Source organism: Homo sapiens, chromosome 3, assembly GCF_000001405.40.
Source record: "Homo sapiens chromosome 3, GRCh38.p14 Primary Assembly".
Classification (NCBI taxonomy): domain Eukaryota; kingdom Metazoa; phylum Chordata; class Mammalia; order Primates; family Hominidae; genus Homo; species Homo sapiens.
Genome location: NC_000003.12, coordinates 42184211 through 42201358, shown reverse-complemented (window position 1 = coordinate 42201358; position 17148 = coordinate 42184211). Strand labels below are relative to the sequence as shown.

Here is a 17148-nt window from a genome sequence, read left to right as displayed (position 1 = left end):
CCTCCTGAGTAGCTGAGATTACAGGTGCATGCCACCATGCCCAGCTAATTTTTTGTATGTTTAGTAGACATGGGATTTTGCAATGTTGCCCAGGCTGGTCTCAAACTCCTGAGCTCAGGCAATCCTCCCGCCTCGGTCTCCGAAAGTGCTAGGATTATAGGCGCGAGCCACCACGCCCGGCCAGGTCTGTATTTTTCAGGTGACTCTCATCTACCTCCCTCTTAATAATTACTGAGCCTGCAGACAATCCATACTACCACTCCTCACCCCAAAACAGAGAAGTGAAAACTCCCAGCTTGCTCACCCCAGGTCGGCTGCCTCTGTTTCCAGAATGATGCTGTTGGTCTTGTTGTCGAGGACGACGTTGCCTATGTCGCTGCCGTAGAAGCTGGACCGGGGGGTGCTGACGCAGCTGGACAGGAGGGAGTTCATGGCCGAGGACTGGTTGGAGCCGGGGATGTTCATGGGAGAAGGGGTCAGAGATCTCTGCTTGACAACCTGGTTGATGTTTCTTACTGTCTCAAAGACACGCTTCTGGTGACTAGGGAGAATGCACGGCATCCGTGAGTGAGCAAATGCGGGCACAACCCTGGAGTTTAACCCTCCAAAAATGATCAACTGAGCCAAAAGGGCACCTGGCCTATGACGAGTCCCCCAGCAGCCTGCTATCCTGTGCCTGCCACCTGTTTCTTAGGGTATTGGCTGCCTCCTTCACAATGCGAAATTTGAGAGATTCAACACCCACTAAACCCAGGACTCGAACGCATGGTTGTATCCTAAAGGTGATGCCAGCAAGAGTGAAATTGTGTTTCACATCCCTAAAGCTTAACCCACAAATAAAAATACTTAAGTATGACTTTTGTCTCCTAGATTTCTTTTTTCATAATATTCACTAGAATAAACGCTGCAGCAGGGCAGTGTTTACTGCTCAGCGCAGCAGAAATCAATCAATACTTGTAGAATGGATATTTGTTGAACATTCATATAAAAAAAGGAAGACTTCAAGTTAGTCTTTCACTTCTATAATAAGATGATAAATACTAGATTTGTCTAATTTTGGAAAGTGTTATTTTAGGAGCAGAACCACTTTGATGCTCATTTGTTCCCTTTTAAAGAGAAAAGGGTAGGCATGTTTTTACAATGGCCACTTCCTTCTGGGCTGCAGAGGGTGTCACACATATACCAAACCTCACTTGGACACTTGCCACTCCCAGGATCTCATTTAAGTTCTGTCTATGGAGTCTGAGTACACAGAAAACACAATGAAACCTGGTCCACATGTTCCTTACAAACACCTTGGGGCAGGTTAAGTACAAGAGTTGAGGTAGGAAGACAGATGGTAGAAGCTCATATCCCTAGGTGTATTCAGATGGAGATGGAAGCCTTGCACAAAATCTTTGAAGACCCCTCTGAATCTCACACTACGTTGATTTTAAATTTTTTAAATGTTTTCCACTGAAAGGAAAGATAAAAACGTGTAGCTATATCAAGACAAAGCTTGTGTTAAGAGAGATGGGAAAGACATCTCTCCTTTTCTAGGACTTTCTGGAAGTTCACAATTTGTCTTTAAAACCTAAGAAGAAGAGGAGCACAGTGGCTCACAGGCCAGTGGTGGCTCACGCCTGTAATCCCAACACTTTGGGAAGGCCAAGGCAGGACGATCACTTGAAGCCAGGAGTTTGAGATCAGCCTGAGCAACATGGTGAAGCCCTATGTCTACAAAAGATTTTTTTAAATTAGCTGGAAATGGTGGCATGCGCCTGTAGTCCTAGCTACTCAAGAGGCTGAGGCAGCAGTATTACTTGAGCCTAGGAGTTCGAGGCTGCAGTGAGCTATGATCACACCACTGCACTCTGGCGTGCCCAATAAAGTGAGACACCCCATCTCTAAAAAATAAATAAATAAAAATTAACACTAACAAAAGATAATAAGAGGAGCTGAGGGATGCTGTCAGCTGTGTTCTATTATTTCCCTTAATCTGGACTGGGAAGGACAATAGTCAATCACTGTCGGTACCCAGAGCCTCAACATTGCTAGGTTTTGAACACTGCACTGGTCCAAGTTGGTCTCTGGGAATCTCAAAACTGTAAAAACTGTGGCCGTACGTGATGTCTGGAGACTCGGCCTCTTCCAACTGCAGCTCCTTGCGCATCGTTCCCTCAATCTCTGCTGCCAAGGAATCCTGGGAAAAGCCAGAAAGACAAATGTCAAGTGAGCGCCAATTCAAATGCTCTGTCTCTAAAAGAGGTATGCACCCAGGTGGGCCATGGAGAGTAAACCAAGGCATCAGAAGCTCACGGTCTTCCCACAACACAAACTTAACAGCACTCTCTGTTGTCAGAGACCCTGGCTGAGCAGTTTCCCAGGCAGGTTCTGAGTGTGGCAGTGCCACTGGGCACTGAGTGTAAAGCTGCTGACTCATATGCCATTAGGTGTCTAAAAGCAAACCCTATGCTCCGTTGGCCAAACCATGGAGCTGTAACCATGGCTACGAGATGGGATGCAGAACTTATGAGGGAGGGGTGATGTGTTCAGAATGATGGAGACAGGTGAATTTCCAAATACCTCTGAGCTTACAGTGAGATATGGCAACAGAGCCCATACAAGCCACACAAAGCTATTGTCCCCCTAGTCTACAGGGTCTGTCACACCCCCTCTGTGTCTAAGATTCTGACACCAAGAATAGACCAAGGGCCTCCAACTTCGGCTCCTGGGGAAGCCTTTCCCACCTCCAAAGGGCACTCTGGTTCTGTGCTAGTGAGAGGGTCTCTACAGACGTGACGTGAGTCACACGCACTGCCATCTCTAGGTCCCTGCTCTCATCCTCCCTGGCCTCCTGCAAGGGAAGTTCCTCTCACCGCCAACTATCCATGGCCCACCCACCTTTAAACAACCTGCCCAGGAAATGTAGGATTCCTGTTTCCACTAGGAATCTCACATTTTTTTCTGAAGCAGACACCAAACACAGTAAGTCTTTGCCACTCTTCTCAACAGCTCACATGTTTCTCTCTCCAGCTTTGTGGGTCAGGGGAAGGCTAGTCACTGATGGCTTCTCACTTCACCAATGGGCCAGGCCTCAAGCTGAGACTCAACATTAAAGGCTGCCAGATGGATGTCCCCTCTCCTGTACCACCCATCACTCAGCACTGTAGGAGGTGGAGCCTAACACACAATCCTTTACACATGGTAGATACCCACAGGACCAAGTGTGTGCAGAAAAGCACCAGTTCAGCACCAGAGGAGGATATCCATGGAGGATAACCTGAAGGGAAAGGCTAAATTCATGTTAAACAACAGAACAACCTGTGATGATGGACGCATCCTCTGTGCTGGGACATATGTACATGTGGAAACCACCAGCCAGGGGTGGCTAGTGAGCACAAGAAATGTGGCTTGTGACTGAGGACCTGAATTCGTAATTATATTTTAACTTAATTGATTTAAATTTGCACAGCCACATGTGGCCAGTGGCTTCCCAGCAGATACCGCCTGGGGACTCCAGGGCATCCACCTCAGCAGCTTCATGGTCCATGCGGATGCTCCGGTCTGGAGGCTGGAACCAAGCGGGGAGACTCCACAGGAGTCAGCAGGAAGTGAGATGAATAAAGGGCTAGCAGGCTTTTTTCAGTCCTTGTTCACAAATATGCATTTTATTTTGTAATTATTACCCACAGATTGCCATTAAACGTTATGTCCAGTAAGGACTTCCCTAGGTGAGTCTGACATCTTTTAAGCCAGCTTATTTTTTAATACTGTTATTCACCACATAATTTACAAATAGAGAAGAAAGGACCTTCATACACCTTAAGAAAAATGAAGTGTCAAATTACTACAGTCAGCCCTCCGTATCTGTGGGTTCCACTTCTTCAGATTCAACTAATCTTAGATAGAAAATTTGGGGGGAAAAAAAACAAAAAATAATACAAATTTAAAAATCGGTACAGTATAACAACTCCTTACATGGCATTTACATTGTATGAGGTATTACCAGCAATCTAGAGATGATCTTTTTGTATGTGGAAGGGCATGCATAGGTTATAAGCAAACACTATGCCCTTTTATATCAGAGACTTAGGCATTGAAGGATTTGGTATCTGCAGGGGGTCCTGGAACCAATCCCCCTCAGATACTCAGGGATGACTGTAATTTCAAAGCCATACTGAGAAAAAGTCACATGCAGGCTCTGTGACTTGTTTTTGGCCATGACCCTCTCCCCTCTGGCAATCCAGGCAAGTCTGTGGACTCCTTCCTGGAATAATATTTTTAGGCAAATAAAATTATGATTATAAAAGAAGGCAGATATGTATCAATATAACAACGTGTGTGTGTGTGTGTGTGTGTGTGTGTGTGTGTGTGAGAGAGAGAGAGAGAGAGAAAGAGAAAGAGAGAGAGAGAGAGAGAGGAGAAAGGAGAGAGAAATTAGTTCAGGACTGGTTACTGCTGTCATTTTGAAGTGGAGATCAGCATCTGTGGTGTTGTGAGGCAGCTGTAACAACTGAAATGTGCCATAGGGCCAGGCGCGGCGGCTCATGCCTGTAATCCTAGCACTTTGGGAGGCCGAGACGGGTGGATCACCTGAGGTAAGGAATTCGAGACCAGCTTGGCCAACATGGTGAAACCCCATCTCTACTAAAAATACAAAAAAAAAAAAAAATTAGCCGGGCGTGGTGGCACATGCCTGTAGTCCCAGCTACTTGGGAGGTTGAGGCAGGAGAATCGCTTGAACTCAGGAGAGGGAGGTTGCAGTGAGCCAAGATCGCACCACTGCACTCCAGCCTGGATGACAGAGCAAGACTCCGTCTCAAAAAAAAAAAAAAAAGAAGAAGAGAAAAAGAAATGTGCCATAAAAATACCTGTGATTTCTAATGATGACAAAGTCACAAGCAGTGCTAATATCACTGTGACCTGGTGACCTTCATACAGGAAGGAAATATTGAGTACAATTAGGAACTAATTTCACAGGCCCCCCCCAAATTTCGTCTGTGGATCCCAGATGAACTCCTGCCATTGGGCAAGAGAATTGGGAACATAGTTGTGCAAAAACTGCTACTCACTGTTTTATTCAGCGATTAGAATGGCTAGGAGCAAAAGAGGCAGATCTGGGCGTTCTGCATGATGCAATCTTTAGACTGCTTTAAATACCTTTAATGCATAATACACTTTAAAAATAGCCATCTTCAAAAACTGGGCTGTGCCAAGAGCTACAGAAAAAGGCAAACAAAAACTTTACCTCAGCAAATATGAAAGCTGAGAATCCCTCAAAAAGAAACTGAAATGCAAATTTCAATTCGACTTTTCTCACACAATAGTTCAGTTTTCAAAGAGAGGTCTGCCCTTGAGAGTGGGGAAGGCAGTGGAGTGGATCCTGGGTGCCCAGGAAACAAGACAGCGCCAGGAGCTCACTGCACCAAGATGACAAGCCAGGAAGGAGGGAACCCAGGTAAGGAGCCTGCAAAGCTACACAGGCCAGCGTGTGAGCCAAGTGTGGTTAGCGCTAGATCAGGGAACTTGGGGGACTGAATATTCTTTGCTGCTTTTACTGAGATTCCTGGAATCACTGGATCACCCATCTGTGCCCTAGAAAGCTGACTATGTTATATGTCTTTCTTTTTGTTTCCCTCAGATTTCAGTGAAGCTTCTTGAGGCGGAGAGGGGGTGGTGGCTATTCTAGCCTGACTTCCTGACTTTGATGCATGGGAGCAAAGAAGAAAAGAAATCACGATTTAGGGAAGGTGGGCCAGACAACAAGGAGTGGGGGATGGGGATAGTATCTGCTGGGGGTCAGCAATGGGGGCTGAAGGGAAAGAGCTCCAAGGAAAAGGCCAATTTCAGAAGGGACAGAATCTCACGAGCATTTACGCAGCCATCCGCTCCTATCTCACTTGGGGGAGTTTCTCTCAAAAGCTCTTCTCTCCTCAGAGAGCATTTAGCATTTCATCAAACCATGGAAATAGAGCTGGAATACACAGGAGTTCTTGAGTTTGCTCTTTAGGCCATCTGTCTATCTGTCCAACTATCCGTCTAAACGTAATGTCTATTAAATGTCTACAATGCATCATGTCAGTGCTCAGGAAGTTTTGGATTGTGAAGCATTCTGGATTAGAGATGCTCAACCTGTATGAGTCAGATCTTCCAAATACCTCAGGTTCCCACTAAAGCAAGTTCCTACTAAATTTATCTTTTAATGGCAGGAGTAGAAAAGACCACAGATTTAGAGGAACAGAAAATAACCAATTTGTCTTATGTAGTTAAGAAACCACCAGTCAGATTCAAGTGTCCTTGATTCAGACTCAGATCTGAACTGTACAACGAGAAGCGAACTGTGAACACCCAACTCCAGTGGCCAGAATGTCAGACACTGTGCTCCTGTCACCAGAACCCCTCCTGTCCTCTGGCTGGGAAGAAAGCACAGCTCACCATGGGAAACAGGCCCAGTGAGTGGTAGCGCCGAGACGTGGTATTGGGCATGGTTTTGTTCCGGAGGTTCTTCAGCTCCTCCTGCGCCTCATGCAGCATCTCCATGCACTCTGCGTACTTGTCCTCCAGCTCACGCAGCTGCAGGCAGGAAAGACACAGAGGGTCAGGATCTCCTGAGCACCCAGGTGTACACACATCTGCCCATCCGAAGGCCAGAAAGACACAGCAATCTAAGAGTCCCCAGCACGTGTGGAACCAGCTGCCCTGTGCGCCTGTGGCCAAATAACAGAATTTTCAAAGGCTTGCTTTTTCTTTGACTTGAGGCAAGCTTACAGACTCAGAAATCTTCTAAAATACCAACAATGGGCAAATGAAACAAAACCAACTTCATGCAAAAGAAAAATCAGGCTAGGAATGATGGCTTACAGCTGTAATCTCAGCACTTTGGGAGGGCAAGGCAGGCAGTTTGCTTGGGCACAGAAGCTGAGACCAGCCTGGGCGACATGGGAAAACCTCATCTTTCAAAAAAAAAAAAGCAAAAATTAGGTGGGTGTGGTAGCCCACACCTGTAGTCCCAGATACTCAGGAGGATCACCTGAGCCTGGAGAGGTCGAGGCTGCGGTGAGCCATGCTCATGCCACTGTACTCCAGCCTGGGTGACAGAATGAGACCCCATCTCAAAAAGAGAAAAAGAGAGAAAGAAAAAGAAAATCGTCACACCCATGTTTCAAGCCACACCTGTGAGATTCCTCTCCCAGAGTGCTCTGTGTTGTATTGTTTCATTTCTTTGAACATTTTTTGGACACCTGCACGTGCCAGGCTCAGCTGGTGTAGAGCCCTGCCACACAGGTGCCCATAACCAGTAACAGTGTCAGTGGGCACAGAACCAAGGTGCAACTGGGTTTACTCTCCCACGAATAAAAATGAAATGAAATTCAAAATAAAAACAGTAGTTGCGATGGACGTGACTAAAGCTGTCCGGGAAGGCTAATCCACCTTGGCTGCAATCAGAGGCACTGAAGGAATGAGGGAGAGGTGCTCACCTCGGCTGTGAGCTGCCGCTGGGCATCCTTAGCAGCCCCCAGATGCTGGACAAGTTCTTCATTTTCCACTGCGCACTAAAGCATGGCAAAGATAGATCACTTCCTAAGATACTTGGTAAAAGTCCAACTTTTTCCCTCTTATTAACCTAATCTGTAATGAACTCATCACTTTCTACAAGGACATGCTCATCTTATACTCAAATTCTGCTTTTTATATTATTTTGAAGGTAAAGTCTTTCCTATATCCACATTCATTCTCTATAGCCCACCGCCCCACCCCCATCTTCCAAAGCTCTCTGGAAGCATTTTACCCCACACTAATAGCAAAGTCCATTTTGCTGCCTCTTCTTAAATCTGAAGAGGATACTGCTCTACTGCAGCACATATCTAGTGCACTGTGTAAAAACAAATACTAGACTAGATGATCCATAAGTTAAACTGCAAAAGTCCATATTTACAACATCTTTTTAATGAATTCAATATAATTTTAGGAGATAAGAGGTCACAAATAAGACTCGTCACCAATTCAGGTAATCAGTTTTATACTACTGAGTCCACTAAGCTTTTTCTGCAAAGCGGCAACACGAACTGCTAAGATATGAAACTAAAGAGCACTGTCTTCTGGAGTAAATGTCCCTTCCCCGTCTCAGCATGGCCATTGTTGTATCAGCCAGATAAACAGAGAAGCCTTACAGCTTTTGCCTTTTTCTGCAAATCAACTATTTGCGATAGCAGGTGTGTGATCTCCTCTTGCTGGCGGGCAGCATCTTCCGTCTTCTTGGCCAGTTCCTCTGAGATACTAGCAATCTGGACATTGGCATCCCCTTTGACAAAGAAGCAACAATCAGGAGAGGAAGTCAGAAAACCACACATGCAGACCCAGAGAGAATGGTTTCTTTGTGGTTTGCACAAGAAAAACCATCCTTACTAAAAGACAGGGTAGAGTGGGGAGGGTGCAGGAAGGAACTCATAATGACCATTTTCCCACATGGAGAAGCAAAGCAGCTTCTTCAGGGCTCAATCAGTTATGAAAAAGAATCTCACCCCATTAGATAGCACTCCTGAGCTCAGTGTAGGGTCCCAAGCCCACCAACCAAGGCTGTCTCCCCAGAACAAATCAGGAAGGCTCCAGTGGTCAGATAGAAAGTGACAAACAAAACATGAGTGCATCTAGCCACATCCTCACATTCCACACAAGAGAACCCATGTGACTAAACAGGAATCCCCTGCTGCACCCAGTTCTAAAAAGGAACTACTGACTGCACAGTGCAATTTCCTTGGAGTTTTCAACCCATATTCAGAGTCATAACTCACTTGACTAGATTTGAACATGAGGTGTGTTTCATCATTATTTTGCTGAAATGCAAAATACTTAGTACTTTGACGAAATGCAAAATAGTACTTTGACGAAATGCAAAATACTTAGTACTTTGACGAAATGCAAAATACTTAGTACTTTGACGAAATGCAAAATACTTAGTACTTTGACGAAATGCAATATACTTAGTATTTTGACCTTTGGTCTTAACTTGTAAACTTAAAATGAAGAGGAGGAGAGAAATATTTATTTGCAAAGGTGAGAACCCTGGCTTCAGCTTCCACAAATCAAATTACTGGTAGTAAGCTGTTCTGCCACATTTTCAACACAGTTTTCTGTAGCTGGGCCTAACTTAGGCATTAAAAAATTCCAATATTCTGGCCAGGGGTGGTGGCTCACGCCTGTAATCCCAGCACTTTGGGAGGCCAAGGCAGGTGGATCACCTGAGGTCAGGAGTTCAAGACCAGCCTGGCCAACATGGTGAAACCTTGCCTCTACAAAAATACAAAAAAATAGCCAGGCATGATGGTGGGTGCCTGTAATCCTAGCTACTTGAGAGGCTAAGCTGGCAGAATCACTTGAACCCGGGAGGCAGAGGTTGCAGTGAGCCGAGATCGCAACTACTGTACTCTAGCCTGGGTGACAGAGTGAGACTCTGTCTCAAAAAAAAAAAAAAAAAAAAAAATTCCAATATTCCAGTATAAAGCCAAAATTAAATTTAAATATCCACCTCAGTGATAAACTGAGATAATACATAGCTGGCAACTTAGCACTAAATAATAGAGAGGGGGTGCCACACAAGGTTGGGGAGGCCTCTAGTTTTAAGAAAAATGCTGCTGAGCCGTAGGCTGGCAGGAGACTGCACTTTAGCAAGGCTGACGCAAATCTGTCTAATCATGACAGCAGATGCAAGGAAGTAAGAAGACAGCAGTGCGGGGACATACTCAGCTCCTTCACGCAGTCATTGACCAGCTGCTGCTCCTTCTCCTCATAGGTGATGGTCTCTGTCTTCAGCTGGCTGGCCTGTAGACAAGACCCAGGTCAGAGGCCCCACATTCTCACCTGGCCTGGTGGTGCAGGCAAGGGCTGAGGCATAAAGCAAAGGCTAACTGGGGTCTGGGAAGCTGCCCTTAGCATTCCCCCACCTGTCACCCATCGTACCCTCAAATACAGAAAGTCCATCTGAATTCCCAGCTTAATAATGGATGTGCACTCAAAGCTGAAAACCTGAAAAACGCATACCACTAGAGGGCGCCACACACAGCTACGGGCACAGGTGCTCTACAGCTTGCTCTGTTAAAAACACCACGAACACCACCATCCTATCATTGTATCTGTTATTTGTGGCTGTCCTGGCTCATAAATATGGATGCTCTGTGACCCGCACAGTGCCTAGGACACTACCCACAGCAGGCATCCTAAGGATAACCACACAGGAATGGCTAACACTTACTATGTGCCAGGCACTGAACATATGAGGTCCCAAGTTGGAGTTAAACCTGCTGTGTTCAAGCTTAGTAAGAACAAGGTCCAACACAAAAGCATTAAAATGCAGAGGCACAAGAGCCACCCCAGGACTCTGGACAACTTGCCCTGGCTGAAAAGGGTGGGATGATAGAGATCTGAAGGCCCAAAGAAGAAGCCCCGAGACCAGGCGCAGTGGCTCACACCTATAATCCCAGCACTTTGGGAGGCCGAGATGGGAGGGCTGCTTGAGCCAAGATCACGCCACTGTACTCCAGCGTGGGTGACAGAGCAAGACTCCCATGGAGGGAGGGAGGGAGGAAGGGAGAGAGGGAGGGAGGGAGGAGAGAAAGAGGGAGAGAAAGAGGCAAAGCAAGCAAGCAAGCAAGAGCCCCAGTTAGACAGAAGTGTCTCTGAGCCCTCAGTCCTGGCCCCAGAAAATCATTACACTTCAGAAAATGGATGTGGGGTAGCAGGAATCTGTAGCTGGGATCAGATTCCCTCAGCTAGCTTTGGGTGAGTTGCTGGGCGCCCGGGGCTGGAGCATTTACCTGGGGCAGGTGCTGGAAGAGGTAGCACTGAACTCAGAATAGGGAGCACAGGGCTGTTGCCTTGCCCAGCAACTGGCTGGCAGAGGAAACCTAGGCAGACTTCTTGGTCAATCTGGGTTTACATGACCCATCAGTGAACAAGGTGCTGGAAGAGGTGAGGTCTAACAGAACAAGATGTGCAGAAGAGCATCTTGTTCAGACGGGACATGAAGATCTTACCAAGGTGTGGGCAAGTTCAAGTTGACAGATGGTCTGCACTATTAAGGGGCTCTCAAGAACCCAGGGCCAGCCTAGGTGGGCACACAGCTCCAACCTGACACACAGGGGCCTGATAAACAGGGCCGTACTGTACCACACCATACCTCGGCTAGAGAACAGAAACTCACCACTAATTAAGACAAACAGTACTAAATTTGCACCTATCGGTGTTTCTAGAGAGGGGCAGTGGGTGAAGGTGAAAAACAAGGGGCTTAGAGTCACAGACTTGCAAATCCTAGCTTTGTCATTTACTCACTCAAATGACCTCGGGTTATCAAAACACCTAGCAGCCTGGGGCCCACCGTTCCAATGAGAATCAAAGTAACGAGCTTTCAGCCCTGCTGTGAACTCTAAAAAAAAAATGTGGGCAAAATGCCTGGCACACTGCCTTGCCAATAAAACAAACTCAAAAGCATGAGTCCCCAAGTTGCCTCAGCTCAACCTTTTTGAGTTAATTGTTTAAGAAATATATGACTCTGCCAGGCACGGTGGCTCACGCCTGTAACCCCAGCACTTTGGGAGGCCGAGGCAGGTGGATCACCTGAGGTCAGGAGTTCAAGACCAGCCTGACCAGTATGGTGAAACCTCGTCTCTACTAAAAATACAAAAATTAGCTGGGCATGGTGGCATGCGTCTGTAGTCCCAGCTACTCAGGAGGCTAAGACAGGAGAATAGCTTGAACCTGGGAGGCGAAGGTTGCAGAGCCAAGATCGCACCACTGCACTCCAGCCTGGGTGACATAGCGAGACTCCATCTCAAAAAAAAAGAAAAAAAGAAAAAGAAATATGGCTCTCTCTGAGCACCCATGGACTACTTCCTTGAGCATCTGATCTGTGGCAGCATGAAAACAAGGCTGGGTTTCTCCACAGGTGCTGTGGTCAGAGCTGGAGAACACCATGGGAGACCTCACTGCAGGAGTGACTGTGAAGGAGGGGCCCTCCAACTCTTCCCAGTCCACACACCATGTCATTCACCAGGTTTGCCTGCCCCAGCCAGGGAGGCATGTGTTGGGCTGGAAGGCAGTGCCCAGAGCATAGAGGAGGCACATCTGCCGAGCGCCTGGTACAGCTCTTCACAGACTGCCAGCTTTGAGGAGGGCACTTAACCATGGTTGTCCTTGCCAGATAAGGCGAATGGGGCCACCACCCTTCTAGCAGGGGCAAGAGAAGGGAGGGCACATCACCTCGGATCGAAGTACAACATTCTCCTCTTCAAGGTCTTTCAGCTTCTTTTGAAGAGAATCCAAATGAAAGTAATTCTGGACTGAGGAGGACGACTCATTCCTCTTCAACCTGGGGGAGAAAGTACGCTCACAACCTAGGGAGACGCATTTCCTCCCACCACCTGGCAAACCATGTGGAGACACAAAGAAGGGCTTGCAGGAAGGACAATGACCCACCAGACGGCTCTCCCAACCCCAGGAAGACAGCGCCCCCAGTGCACAGGCTCACCACCAATTCTGAACCCACATCTCAACCCTTTATCCACAACTTGCCACATCACCTTAGAATTCAGGGGACCAACTCTGTTTAAAGCCTACACAATTCCAGGATGTCTGGGAGTTTATTTAATACTCACAATGCATTTGTAAGTACTCTGTATGTTTTAACTCAATTAATGCTTATAACTCTGTGACCTAAGTTCTACTGTTATCTCCATTTTACAAATGACAAAACAAGTACAGAGGTTAAGTAACCTAGCCAACAGCATGCAGCTAGTAAGTCCCAGAGCCAAGATCTGCAACCAGCCCACTGGGCTCTGGAGTTCATGCTCCCAACATGAGGATCTGCTGACTCTCAGAGAAGACACCACGCCTTCTGTCCCAAGGACCTGCCACAGCACCTCTGGCTCCAGAACCCTGAATACTCTCCAACAGCAGAGCCTAACCCATTATCCATTAATGTGCCAGGGCAAATCAATCTAAATTGACAAATAAGCAATAAGACCCAGGAAAAGGAAAACTAAAAACCTGTCCATCCATATCCCGCTAAAATAGTAAAATCAATCTGTTTGAGGCACTTGGAGGTGTTTGGTCCAGAGAAGGCTGAGAGCAGCTGACCTCCATTGCTGCTGAAGGTGACCCTGTCTAGGTGACTCCAAGGACATCAACAGCGGCCAGCCTGTGCTCTGGCCTCCAGAAATACAGCCCTCTGGTGACTTACGGGGTTGAGCAAACGGACTCGGGCTCACTCTCCTCCGCAGCGCTGGTGTAGAACTGAAGCAGCTCATCCTTCATGGACAGCTCATGCCGGAGCTGAGACACCTGCACAAGCAGAGCAGGCCCATCATTTGCTTCCCAAAAGGTGATACTGTCCCCCCCGACTCACATTCCAACACTTAACACTTAGGGACAATATTTTTCTGAAAATTCACCATTGAAAGTGAAAGCATTTAAACTGATTTTGTGCTATTCAAAAAAAGAGGCTTTCATTTAATCTATTTAAAAGAAACACAATTACTTTTTGGTAGAAAGCTGTCTAAATTCATAATTTTTACTTTGGTACAGGGAGGAGCAGAGAGGGGACTAGAATGATGCTTGGGGGCCGGGCACGGTGGCTGGCACCTGTAAACCCAGCATTTTGGGAGGCCGAGGCAGGCAGATCATCTGAAGTCAGGAGTTCGAGACCAGCCTGACCAACATGGTGAAACCCCGTCTCTACTAAAAATAAAAAATTAGCGAAGAGTGGTGGCATGTGCCTGTAATCCCAGCTACTCGGGAGGCTGAGGCAGGAGAATTGCTTGAACACGGGAGGCAGGGGTTGTAGTGAGCTGAGATCACACCACTGCACTCCAGCCTGGGCAACAGAGCAAAACTCCATCTCAAAAAAAAGAAAAAAGAATGATGCTTGTGGGGATGCAACTATTCAGGGGCTTTGGAAATAGCCAGATGATCAGCTGGGCAAATAGCCAGAAAAATTGATCATGTTACTAAATGAAAGAAAAGGCCATTCATTCACTTCTGCCAGAACCAAATCCCAACTCCAAATAGGGTCCTGGAGATGCCAGCTCTGCACGGGCAATACAGGCAGCTCACCGACCCTTGCTCTCACACTTGGATGACCACACAGCCCCATTCTGTGATGCACCCTCACAAGGCTCCTGGACAAGCCCAGCCAGACCTCGTTCCGTGCTCAATGCTTACTAGATAGGAATTTCACACACAGGAAGAAAAGAGCCAACCATCAGGGAATGGCTACATTGACTTCTGCTGAGATGGCTTTGCAAATCACCCTGATTTGTACTTAAGGTTTTTAAATAAAGTTGGACTGTAAAAGTTTTCATCTGCCCTTTCACTCTGCAGTACTGAAGAATAGGGAACCAGTGCTATAAGAAGAATTGCAGTTACGTTTTAACTCTTTCTTGTTTATAATTTGACTTAGGGTCTATGGTTTATTGCAACTTTTCTACAAAACAGAGTGAATTATTACGTCTTCCATGGAGAAGACAATTTTACGTGCATAAAAGTTTTAGCTTCGACACCTAGACTGATAATTTAATAATATGCCAAAGGGAAACATTCATAGCTTTCAAATTCAAAGCTTTTCCAAGGGGGAAAAAAGGCATTTCCACTCCCAGAGAGCTGGATCCTCTTTGTGCAAGGTGAGGCTTGTCCCAAGCAAGAACAGTATAGTGAAGAAGCTGACGGGTGACCATTTGTGAGTTACTGGCTGGCATGTCCCTCTGCTCAGAAGTGGCTAGGAGGGGGCCAGGCTGACCCAGCATGCCTTCTCACCAGTCACATGAGAGGGAATCCAGGTCGTGACTCTGGGGGCAGGGAATGCACGAATCACTTTATTTCTCCTAAAATACAACAGCATTCTCCCTTATCAAATCTTAAAGCCCAGGATTAAAACTTTTCTTACATAGTGGCGACTATGCTTCATCATATTAAAACTACTGTTAAACCCAGACAACAATGTACTGGGAATAGCTTTAACAAGGAAAAAGGTTGAATACATCTTAGGAACATGAACAAGGGCATCCACTCCCACTAAGAAAGTTTCTGATAGAAAATAAGGGAGAAGAGGCCAGGCGCAGGGGCTCACACCTGTAATCCCAGCATTTTGGGAGACCAAGGCGGGTGGATTGCTTGAGCCCAGGAGTTTGAGACCAGCCTGGACAACATGGTGAAACCCTTCTCTATAAAAAACACAAAAATTAGCCAGGCATGGTGGCACATGTCTGTAGTCCCAGCTACTCAGGAGGCTGAGGTGGGAGGATCGCTTGAATCCAGGAGGTCAAGGCTGCAGTGAGCTGTGATCTCACGACTGCACTCTAGCCTGAGTGACAGAGTGAGACCTTATCTCAAAAAAAAAAAAAAAAAAAAAAAAAAAGGCTGGGCACAGTGGCTCATGCCTGTAATCCCAGCACTTTGGGAGGCTGAGGCGGGCGGATGACCTGAGGTCAGGAGTTCGAGACCAACCTGGCCAACGTGGTGAAACCCCGTCTCTACCAAAAATATTAAAAAATTAGCTGGGTGTGGTGGCAGGCACCTGTAATCCCAGCTACTCGGGAGGCTGAGGCAGGACAATAGCTTGAACTCGGGGGGTGGAAGTTGCAGTGAGCTGGGATCGCACCACTGCACTCCAGCCTGAATGACAAGAGCGAAATTCCATCTCAAAAAAAAAAAAAAAGAAAGGAATAAGAAAAGGGGAAAAGAAACAAGGAGAAGTGTTGTCACAGTTAAAATTAACTGTTAGAAGAACAGAGTGATAGAAAGAAGCTACTACGTAGGGCCTGGCTCTAAGCTTCTTATTCTTGCCCTAGCAACCCCATCTGACTCCACAGCCGCTCTCCTCTGTCCACACCACGTCCCTTCCAGAAAATCAGCATCATTCCTTCTAAACCTAGATACCCTAAGATAAGCCGAAAAGCTCCATTCCCTTCCTCTCACCATTGATATCCATCAGCCAAGATTTATATCATGGAAATAAGAGGGTTTCTATCATGAAAACAACAGGCTATTTTTGTCTTGTTTTGTTTTACACACACAAAATTATACTACAACGATGAATGTGAGTCACCACTTTCCTCTGTGTACACGAGCTGGCCTCCTAACAGGGCTCCTTCTCCAGCTGCCCACGCCCAGCCTGACTCAGGAACCCCTGCTCGTTGTGGTGTTAGCCTGGGTGCCCTTCTGCCAAGCATGGAGCATCTTGATCAGCCTGCATCGTTAGAGTCTAGACTCTCTGAGGACAAGGACTGTGGCTGGCCCAACATGGCACACAGATGTACGACTGAGTGAGGACCATGCCCGCCCTTAGCCATCCCATCCACATGGCCTGAGGAAAGAAAAGAGACACAAGCAGCAGCAGGAGCTGCAGGAAGGTGGCTTTTAGTCCCCAGGTGAACGTTTCAGAAGAGACAGTTCTGGGCTCAGGCCGCGGTCGTGCCCTCGGGAGCGTCCTTCCAACTAGGACTCCATTCTCTCATCTCCTTCAGCCATGCCTCCAGCTCCCAGGCCTGTGGCGGGCCCCTCTGGAAGCCTCGGCCTCCAATGTCTTACCTCCTCCCTGATGTGTTCCACCTGCTCCTCCAGCAGCTCGTTCCTCTCGGTTAGGGTCTTGTTCTTCTTCAACAACGACTGGCCGATGCGAGCGGCCAATTCTAAATCCCGCTCTTTCTACAAAAGGAAAGAGGGAGAACAGAGATTCAAAAGACCTGTGTTTCCTGAAGGAGTCAATGGTGCTCAGTGTCAAATGAGGAAAACATAAGCATCTAGAAATAACAAAGGAATTAATAATTCACCATCTGTGTTAGCATTTGATGCCTGTTAAAACAGGCATAACCTCTGCCCACATAGTGTGTGAGAGCTACACAGACATCACACAAGGAAAGGGAAGCCTGACAATGTAATGAAAACAAATCTTTGTTCCTACAGGAAAGAAAAAAATGCTTCTAAAAACAATTATTTGCAACTGCTTTTGATATTTGTGCAGTCACTTGATAACCTGTCTCTCCACCTGAGGGCTGGGCTATTGTATTGCCAGGGCCCGGCACAGGGAAACAGTAGCTATTTGTTAAGTGAATGAATGAATAAATATAGAAATTCTAAAATGCTCTGACAATGAAGCCAAGAGCTGACACAGGGAGGCAG

The 17148-nt window shown here is 46.8% G+C and overlaps 1 protein-coding gene across 34 annotated transcripts in view, besides 5 other annotated features; it reads right to left on the bottom strand.

The window, feature by feature from the left end:
- Window positions 1-17148, bottom strand: part of TRAK1 (trafficking kinesin protein 1) — a 212798-nt gene that overhangs the window by 24532 nt on the left and 171118 nt on the right. For all 34 annotated transcript variants that reach the window (NR_146089.1, XM_047447718.1, XM_017005909.2 and 31 more), the window contains 9 exons: window positions 16558-16674; window positions 13214-13314; window positions 12235-12343; window positions 9723-9801; window positions 8154-8284; window positions 7461-7535; window positions 6418-6555; window positions 2106-2182; window positions 305-541 (listed from right to left, as the gene is read on the bottom strand). Coding sequence is in view for 33 of the 34 variants with exons in the window: in XM_047447718.1 (XP_047303674.1) it covers window positions 305-541; window positions 2106-2182; window positions 6418-6555; window positions 7461-7535; window positions 8154-8284; window positions 9723-9801; window positions 12235-12343; window positions 13214-13314; window positions 16558-16674 (1064 nt within the window). In the remaining variant the exon portion in view is untranslated. The remainder of the gene's footprint in view (window positions 1-304; window positions 542-2105; window positions 2183-6417; window positions 6556-7460; window positions 7536-8153; window positions 8285-9722; window positions 9802-12234; window positions 12344-13213; window positions 13315-16557; window positions 16675-17148) is intronic.
- Window positions 5092-5221: an enhancer, noted in NCBI's record as "active region_19741". NCBI's record gives its function as "activates an Ori minimal core promoter by ATAC-STARR-seq in GM12878 lymphoblastoid cells {active_cell/tissue: GM12878}" and the evidence as "EXISTENCE:reporter gene assay evidence [ECO:0000049][PMID:35858748]".
- Window positions 5302-5411: an enhancer, noted in NCBI's record as "active region_19740". NCBI's record gives its function as "activates an Ori minimal core promoter by ATAC-STARR-seq in GM12878 lymphoblastoid cells {active_cell/tissue: GM12878}" and the evidence as "EXISTENCE:reporter gene assay evidence [ECO:0000049][PMID:35858748]".
- Window positions 6337-6496: an enhancer, noted in NCBI's record as "active region_19739". NCBI's record gives its function as "activates an Ori minimal core promoter by ATAC-STARR-seq in GM12878 lymphoblastoid cells {active_cell/tissue: GM12878}" and the evidence as "EXISTENCE:reporter gene assay evidence [ECO:0000049][PMID:35858748]".
- Window positions 10236-10736: an enhancer, noted in NCBI's record as "H3K27ac hESC enhancer chr3:42232115-42232615 (GRCh37/hg19 assembly coordinates)". NCBI's record gives its function as "activates a minimal SCP1, AML or CMV promoter by ChIP-STARR-seq in naive H9 embryonic stem cells {active_cell/tissue: H9 hESC(naive)}" and the evidence as "EXISTENCE:reporter gene assay evidence [ECO:0000049][PMID:30033119]".
- Window positions 11248-11542: a silencer, noted in NCBI's record as "tiled region #14647; K562 Repressive non-DNase unmatched - State 16:ElonW". NCBI's record gives its function as "represses a minimal TATA promoter and a strong SV40 promoter by Sharpr-MPRA in K562 cells {active_cell/tissue: K562}" and the evidence as "EXISTENCE:reporter gene assay evidence [ECO:0000049][PMID:27701403]".